Source organism: Homo sapiens, chromosome 3 (genome assembly GCF_000001405.40).
Source record: "Homo sapiens chromosome 3, GRCh38.p14 Primary Assembly".
NCBI classification, from domain to species: domain Eukaryota; kingdom Metazoa; phylum Chordata; class Mammalia; order Primates; family Hominidae; genus Homo; species Homo sapiens.
Genome location: NC_000003.12, coordinates 7,914,233 through 7,923,705, shown reverse-complemented (window position 1 = coordinate 7,923,705; position 9,473 = coordinate 7,914,233). Strand labels below are relative to the sequence as shown.

At 41.3% G+C, this 9,473-nt stretch overlaps 1 annotated feature.

The window, feature by feature from the left end:
- Positions 7,249-7,920: an enhancer, noted in NCBI's record as "NANOG hESC enhancer chr3:7957473-7958144 (GRCh37/hg19 assembly coordinates)". NCBI's record gives its function as "activates a minimal SCP1, AML or CMV promoter by ChIP-STARR-seq in naive H9 embryonic stem cells {active_cell/tissue: H9 hESC(naive)}" and the evidence as "EXISTENCE:reporter gene assay evidence [ECO:0000049][PMID:30033119]".

Sequence of the window (9,473 nt, the reverse complement as noted above, 5' to 3'; positions counted from 1 at the left end):
CTGAGGGGCAGGGTGAAGAGTTTGATTTAGATGACATTTCCTAGAAAGGTAGCCCTAGTGCTGAGAAGAGAGCAAAGACAGACTTTTACAAGTCATCCTTAGAATGACATTTAAGACCAGAATGAGTAGAAGATACCTCTAATATACAGAAGAAGAAAGAGAAGAATGTTAAAGAAGCAAAACTTGGATAAGCATTGGGGTTAATGGCAAATGGGGGGATTTTAAGAGGAGTGCCCAGAAGAGGTTAGGGTGGGCATCTAGATAAAGCCAAGGAAGGTTCAAAGAAAAACTGTGGTGTAGCGATTGTCAGGGGCCTGGGAGCAGTCCATTGCCTTTAGCCGGAAGACTCCTCACCAGATACTTTAAGATACCGGCCGGGGACAGTGGCTCACGCCTGTAATCCCAGCACTTTGGGAGGCTGAGTCGGGTGGATCACAAGGTCAGGAGTTCGAGGCCAGCCTGGCCAAGATGGTGAAACCCTTTCTCTACTAAAAATACAAAAATTAGCCAGGCGTGGTGGTAGGTGCCTGTAATTCCAGGTACTTGGGAGGCTGAGTGAGGCAAGAGAATAGTTTGAACCCAGGAGGTGGAAGTTCCAGTGAGTCATAATCACGCCACTGCACTCTAGCCTGGGCGACAGAGCTAGACTCCGTCTAAAAAAAAAAAGGTACCAATTGCAATTCCTTCAGCCCATTTCATGAAGTCCTCTCGTTTTTGAATGCTATTAATAATCCTTTTGAAAACCAAATGCCTGCCAGAACTAGCTCTCAAATTAGTTTCCTTTGGTTAACATTTGAAAACCTGGAGCTTTCTCATAAAATTTTACATTTTTGGTTTCTCTCTCTGAGAAAAGAAAGATCCATCACACTGAATCTGGATTTCTCATTAGATAAGATTTCTGTTATCCACAGTTTCATTACCTCTAAAATATTCACTCTCTCTGGCCTTGAACCTGAATGACTTTTGCCATAGGATAAGCATCATGTTTTCTTTCATGCTGACTTTACTTATATATGTGATTTACCTGGCAGCTTTAATTCATACTGTATTTTTTCTTAGAAATTTTCCCTTTAGGCCCAGCATGGTGGCTTATGCCTGTAATCCTAGCACTTTGGGAGGCCAAGGTGGGCAGATCACAAGGTCAAGAGATTGAGACCATTCTGGCCAATGTGGTGAAACTGATCTCTACTAAAAATACAAAAATTAGCTGGGCATGGTGGTGCATACCTGTAGTCACAGCTACTTGGGAGGCTGAGGCAGGAGAATCGCTTGAACCCAGGAGGCAGAGGTTGCAGTGAGCCGAGATCGCGCCATTGCATTCCAGCCTGGGCGACAGAGCAAGACTCCATCTCAAAAAAAAAAAAAAAAAAAGAATTTTTTCTTTTAACATACACATTAGTATCTTTGGAAGTATCCAAAACAGTTTAATGCCAGAAATTGATCTAGCAGTGACTTGAAAGGGCTAAGGTTTAAATCTCAGCAATAACACACCCCAGTTCTGACAGACAGGGTGGTATGTCACTAGAACTGGTAGCTTCTGCTCAGAGTGGCGAGTTATTTCTGGAAAGTGGTTGCCTAGCCAGATGTCTTTGTTTTTTTCTTTTGCTCTTTTGCATCTAGGGGAAACCATGTAATTTGTGCTGGGCAATAAAATGTGTGAGGCAGTCATGTGTGTCACATCATAACCTAGGAAGTCTAAAAATTAGGTTTGTTTTCTCCACACTCAATGCTTAGCTGTGGTGGTCTCATAGGCCATATTTGACATATGACCTTTAGCTTCATAAAGTACACCAAACATGCATCTCTGCGTCATTGCTTGCAAAAGAGCTACACAAAAGGGATGGAGTTTGCATGACCTGGAATATTTGAAATGGACCTCATTGGAGAAAGAAATACATGTTTAGTATGTTAAGTCACAGATTTTAGGATTGTCTCATACTGCAGTGAGCCTCTTGACTAAAATGCCAGTTATGACCTTGGATGAGTTAATTTACCTCAGTGCCTCTGTTTCCTCATCTGTGAAATTGAGAGGAAAAGGCAGGATACCTCATAGAGCTGTGAAGATTAAATGGGGTGATTTGTATGAAACATTTAGAAGAGTGCTTGCCAGAGTGTAGGCATTCAAAAAGCCTTGGCTGTTGCCATTCATGTCTGCCATTATTTCTGCTTCATTACTGTAGCCAAAGATGGTCTTTATAGAAATGGGACTCATTCTAATTCTTCCCAAAATGTGGTCAGACCATACAGCCAAATTAGGCAAAGCCTAACATTTCCCTTTAGAAATCTAAGTAGATATTTCCCCCAAGGAAGTAGAAAACTTTGTATTTTTAACTTGCCACAAGAATCTAGGTAATTGGATAGGATTTGAGATGGCCATCCTCTTTACATTCCTTACTTTCTGTTGGGTTGAGTCTATCTAACCACCAAACTGATGATGGCCAATGGGGAAAAATATGGCAGAGTCCGATGAAAATAGATGAAGCCAATTGTTATTCTCACTGTTTGGCAGGGACATCACCATGGTGAGAAATGGCCATTGTGTTGCCTAACTCAAATCTGATCCTCCTGTGCCAGGCACCTGTGTTTATGGGATAGGGAAACTCAGTGCAGAGAACTCTTCTCACTGGGATGACTGACTGAGGGTTTGGGCATCCTTGACTCTGGGGCTTGTAAAGTGTCATCTTGTCTCACACATTCTATCCTCCTGCCATCCTGGACAGTTCCCATGGTCCCCACAGGTATTGGCAGAGATGGAGCCAGGGGACAGCCCTTCATGAAGCTTTGTGCAGCTGGAATGCCCTCCTGTGATATGAGAAGACATGGGGAAAGAAGACGATGGGGACATTTAGAGCTACTTCTAGAAACTCCAACAGCTTGTAGGAATCTATCTCATAGGATAAAACCTACCCATTTTTCCCTAGTTAGGCTGAGTCAGGACTGTGATTATTCGAGCACTGATACCCCTTAACTGACTCAACCCTTCTCTCTCCTTCAGGTTGATTTGAATCCATGTTTCTTCTTAAGTGAATGTGCTTTTCCTTGCCTTAATTTAATTAAAAATCAACCCTGGCTTTACATAAGCTCATATGGAACTCATAACTGGTCAACGTATCCATCACTCCATTTGTGATTTGCTTATTTATTAAAGGACCCTGAGGAGTGCTCCTGGGCTGGTCAGTCAGCCTCGGAGCCCTGGCCCCAGCAAGCCCCCTGTGTCCTCTACCAACCCTCACACTAGTTTCCCCGCAGATGGCAGCTCTAGAAGACGCCTGTCAGCACTGGGAAGGAAACCAAGTAGATAATCAGGAAACCATACGTTCACCAGGAATGGGTATTTGGAGTGTAGCAAGTTCAATTTGCCAGATAATTTGCTTCCCACACTCAGCCTTACCTACAGCACAATGAAAGACATTTCAATTTAAATTGCTTCCCAGCTCCAATCGGCATTAATTTAATAATATATATTCAACAGTTATAAACACTTCAAATGGCTAGAAAATGTGAACAGATTCACGTGTTTATGCTGATATTGATGCCTAAATATATTTATTGGTGATGGCAATGGAAATGTTTTTCCTTTTAATTCCCCCCTCCCAAAAAGGAATATGAAATCACTTGCAAGCTGCTAAGGGATTTACATACTGTCTGGGTTGGGAGAGCTTTCAGCTACTTTGCTTTGCATTTCTGTGTGTTCACTAAGGTTTTGTCTGTTGGCCTTCACTCTGATGAATTTCTTCTCTGGTCAGGACACAGACTTTCCTCTTCTAGTTGGTCTAAAGTAACTCAGCTCAACCCACAAGGGTGCTTTTTCTTCCTTCTTTGTGGAATAAGGGAAGCTGTGGAGCTTTAGAACATTTTTACCACCTAGACAAGAGGGCCACACAATAGCCCTTAAGACAAAGAGAACATCCTGGAATAGACTGCAGGATTGTCAGAACTGGGGAAGATATCCTGGAGGCTGCACCTCTCATGTTGCAAATGGAGAAACTGAGGAAAGGAGCCTGGCTTAGAATGTTAGGCGAAGCGAGGACCAGAATTCAGGCTTCCGGAATCTAAGACAGCAGACATCCCCAAATACAGCTGTCACTCAGGTAAAAAAAAACAAAAAACAAACAAACAAACAAAAAAACAGAAAAAAGAATGCATGTGCAACTAGGGTGGCCTTTTTTTTTTTCTTTTTAAGCCAGGCTTAGAACAGTTTTGTTCAAAGAAAATAGTATAGCAGCTGAAAAAATAACTAGATTTGAGGATTTAATACAAAAGCTAATGGTAGTAATAATGGTGGAGGGAACTATACATTCATTGTCAAAGTATATTTTTCAAAAAGTTAAAAACATGATCCTGATACAAATATATAAACGTGTCAGTTTCAGTTCATCGATAAGGGAACAAATGAGATGATAAAGCTGGTTGCAAAAGTATTTGAAGAATCAGGAATTTATAGAAATTTTTAAAATGTGAGCATACATTTGCTTGGTTACATAAAAAACTGGTTAATATTTCACAGAGCAATAAAACTTAAAACCCTGACGTTTGGGGACATCTCTTTTACTAGACATAAATCAACAAATTAACATGTAAGTTCACACTGTCTGGGCTCCTGTCAAATACTAAATAGCTATGTCAAACGTGGGTACAGGCTTCTACAGAATTAAATAATCCTTGAGTAAACCTTTTAGGCGAAACCTCAGTATGTTATTGATTAAAGATGCCCCCTTCTTCATCCCACACCTACATCCTCGGCACCTTATTTCCAGGTGTTGGGTGATTATCAAAGCAGATTTCAAAGTTTTGGATCATAATTGCAATAGGACTGTATAATTACAGTATCTCTCATACCAAAAACTGCCTCCCCAGTCCCATGTATGTCATTCGTCTTTCTTTACTTTCTTTACTTTCTTTACTTCTCTGGACTTAAATCTTTCCTGCTTTATCTCACTGGGTCCTATCTCTGCCTCCTTCCAACTCAGTAGCTCTTTCTCTTTCCAATGTTATACTCTTACAGGATCCTTAGACTTTTAAAATTGCACCTGTTCTGGATCTTTCTAGTGATCATAAGGTCAACAACTGTCATGCTAAAAACAATTTTGTGGTAAAGGTGAACAGTAGGGTCAGACCTAAAAAGCAAACACAAATTTTGGGAGCTGGGGGAAGAAGGAAACAGTGGGGAAGAAGTTAACGATATGCAAGCATTAGATACCTTATTGCATTAACTATTTTATACCAACACAATTCCCACCCAGTAATGAGCCTCTCAGAAATGCAAGATTCTGGGAAGGATGCAAGATTTGGCTTTCCTGGGCCAATGTACTGATTCAGGATAGTATCAATCCTTCCCTCTCAGTGATATACCTTCTTGAATTATCCCTGTACTTAAAATCACTTTGAAAATTCTTAGCTTTCCAGAGTAGTTTTTTGAGCAGATTTTCTTTTACCACTCAGGTTTCATGGATTTATAGTTATTATTAACATTTGGCCCACTTATACAGGCACACAAATGTCAACGGCAAAAGCAAGTCCTAATATTTTTTAAAAAGGGGTTTTGAAGATGACATTTCTTTGGATTTCTTTCAGGATTGAAGACATGGAGTGCATTTGCTGGGTGTAAATAATTAAAGACATCTCTGCTTTCAATTGGAGTCAGTAAGTGCAGAATTTGTTTATTTTTAAAATAGATCAAAGAAGTGGAAGAGGGTGTGAGGCTTGAGGTTGGAAAACCTGGGTTGTCATCTGGAGAGACTCATAGGTAGCTCTGTGGGCTTTGCAGGCCCAAGAGAGGAAGTGATCATTTCCTTGAGTCACGCAGGGAATAAGTGATTGAAATTCTGTGTGTGTGAAGTAGATGGAAAGATGGGGGCGTTATGGAAACCCACTCTCCTGTTTCTCAGTGCATCATTTCTTTGAGTATTGCACGTTATCTCTGGAAAAGGAATATCAAGGATTCTCCTGAACTTTATATTTTTAATAAACTTAAAAGATATGGTAGTCCCCCATCATTAAGAGAGCTGTGTTTTGACTGATTTGCAAAAGCTGTAGGAGTAGGCAATGGCTATGACCTCTAAACATTCAAATACACAGTCTGCTGGAGGCCACTACCCAGTCCCTCTCCTTGTTAATCCTGATACCTGCCCCCTATGCCAAGAAAATGATGGTTTTGAGCAAGGGGACTAGAAAGAAGTTCATGGGCTCATTTCAGTCCATGAGTTTCCTAGACTGGATACCGTATTCTGGGTATATTATCAGGAGTCTCCCCACCCTTGGGATGTCCAGCCCCCCAGCAGGTTAATTCATTTAGAGAAGTTGTGGGGAGGGAATGTTGAAGTGCTCACTGATGCACCCACGGTCTCTGCAGCCTACATTCCTCATCCCCCCCATAGCAGTCAACACTGATAAGTGTGTTTTGTATTTCCTAAAAGGACCCTGCATATCCCTCAGAGGTACAAGTTATTGGGATTGTGATTCTGGGGATTTGCTGAGCTCAAAGAAGTGAGGCTCATATCTGAGCTCCATAATGGTGAAACCCACCTCTGTTCTGTGTTTTCTGCTATCTGATAACTTCTTTCATACTGGAGATTCTGCTGGCTCTTGACAAAATTTTGGTACAAATGGCATGAAGTAACCTCCCATCTCTGTGTTGCAACTATTAACGCATATAAGATGCATAGGCCACTAGAATTTGTACAGATCAGCACATCATGGCTTGGGGGAGCATGTCTGTGGTCTTTGAGATTTCTCTTGAAAGTTGAGTGGAAGCTGTCACATAGAGTAACATTTTTCAAACTGTGATAAATGGTCTTTTTGTTTTAAAAATTTCTAGTCCACTATAGGCTAACACTCTTATAAGACAAAAACACAAAAATCTATGCAAAGTACAAGTTCCTTATTTTTAGTAGGCATAAAATCGTTCTTTCAATCTCTATAAATTCTGATTTTTTTCCCTCAATGTCAGTACTTGCTGCAGACCAGTAATAAACAACTTATAGGCCAGCACAATGGCCCACACTTGGAGAAGCTCTTGTTGAGAGAGTATGTAGGAAGGTTCCATCTTTTTTACAGTGTAGGGGAAAGGTTGCCTAAAAGTCGTAAAGCCCTCTACCCTTCTCATTCCCTCCAAGGGTTAGGACCCATATACATAGAGTCTATCCTATGCAACTAGTGTGTAGAAAGATATTGTTTATAAACATGAAATCGAGCTTGAAGTTTCTTGGATTCTCTTGGAATCTTTCATAAGAACAAAAAGTGGTTTCACCATCCAGAGAACCTTTATTTTAAGTTACCGATTACAATCCTTCTGGAGAACCTGATTCTTTTTTTTTCATAGCCTAATTTCCATTACCTTAAATTACCTTACCCAGGACAAATGGCTTAGGTCTGAGCATTGAAGCATCAGTTTAGTGGCCACTTAAATGAAGGAAGTGGGAATGATTTAAGTCAGCATGTGTTTTCCAAACATGCAATGTAAGAAGGCTGCAAACAAGTAAGTGTTATTTAAAATGTAAAGAGATCTGTGTAGAAGCCAGGCACTTTGAAATGGAAATAAAAAAGCCAAAGACCTCAGCTGGGTGCTTCAGATAACAACTCAAATATTACATGAAAGAGGGAAGAAGGAAGACGAAAAGGGAGAAGCAGGATTCTGAAACTTTGCAATAGCTGATGTCCTTTGAAGGAGATGGATTTGAGGGGTCAATACTAATCTTTAGAATCAGAAGCATTTGCACTGTTAACTGTATCAGAATCACTTAAATTCTTTTGTTACTCTAATGAGCACTTCCTTGATGGTTAAAATATTGTATCATAGCATTAACTAAGTGCATTTGCCCTTAACCTGAAATTAGTGAGTAGTCAAGAAGATTGTAACTGGCTTGGTATAGAATTGGGGGAGATTTACTTCTGAGGCCTGCTGGAACTATGTAGACCTATTAAATGGAAAGATAATGCCATTGTGTGAAAAACTCACACAAAAGAAACTATCACAAAGATGAAGTTGTACAAGGAGGTTTTGGGGATTATCAGAGAATTATGTAGATTCACAAATTGCAAAAGTGTTGATCTTTATCTAACTAGCTATACTGAAATGGGAGAGCTCCCTGACCCCCCTCAGAGGACGTGTGACAGGGGTGTGGCTTGTTGCTGCTCAAACCCCTTACAGGAGGGGGAGCATGCAGACAGACAGGTGAAGGAGCCTAAGTGGGCGTGTGTTACACTGTGCTCTTTTAGGCTTACTGTCTGTGAATGGCTTAAATGTTACCCAGCTCAGTGGACCCTCTGCCTTTTTGCTAGGGTAGGGGGCCAGTGTGACAGTATTCTGTATCCCGAGTTCTTGTCCGGTATACCAGAAGAATCAGGTCACACACAGACTTGAATGATGGTGAATGCTGGGTTTTATTGGGTGGTGGAGGTGGCTCTCAGTGGGAGGGATGGGGAGCTGGACAGGGGATGGATTGGGAAGATTATCTTCCCCTGGAGTTTGGCCATCCAGCAACTGATTCTCTGACCATCCCCAGCTGAACTCCTCCTGACGTTCAGACGCTCCTTCTCTGCCATGCCATTCTTCTGTTCATCTGCTCGTCTGCTCATCTTCTCCTTCTGAAGTCTAGAGTTTGGGGTTTATATGGGTACAGAATATGGGGCATGGTAGGCCAAAGGCAACTTTTTGGGCATGTAAACCGGAATGCCTGATCTAATTTAGGGCTGCAGGTTTCCAGGCTTGAGGGTGGGGTCTTTGTCAGGGAACCCACCCTCTTCTACCCAGTATTTCCCTGTCTCCTGTCCATATCAATACTTAGCAAGACTTATTAGTACTGAAATACCTGATGCCTGCCTTTTTGATGCCCTGACCACACATAACTTATTCTATACTTAGACAAATGATGTGATGGAAATCATGCTATAAAATACTTTATCAGAATGAAAAGAAGTCGCAGTTGTTACTTTTACTGGGCATCAGAATCGCCCAAAAGGCTTATCAGTAATGTAGATTCCAGGGTGCAAAACCCCAGATATTTTGCGTCATCAGATGTGGGGCAACATAGACTGCCTTTCTAAGCATACCAGCTGGGTTTGACACAAGTGGCTCCTGGAACACACTTTCAAAATTCATGCAACTTCCTCACTGTATGAATGAAGAAATAGAAACTCCTTGGCTGTATGACCTTGGTGAGGCCACTTAAACTCTGAGGCAGAACCAAGATTGGAACTCAAGGATTCTGTCCCACCCCCATGCTGCCTTATAATTACCTGGATCTGCAGCTAACCTGTATTTCTGTGCAATGCCTTTGAAGCAAACACATCTTTCTCAATTTACAATTGGAAGGGTTTGTCCTAACCAAGGGTGACAAAAACAAGTCAAATGTTTAGTATGTCATTGAGGCTGCTTTTAAAATTCAGCTTTAGATTTTTATCATGGTGACTGCCTTGTATCTCCATAACCTCAGACACACCCTGAGGATAGAGGGTGCAGACAACCTTTCTTT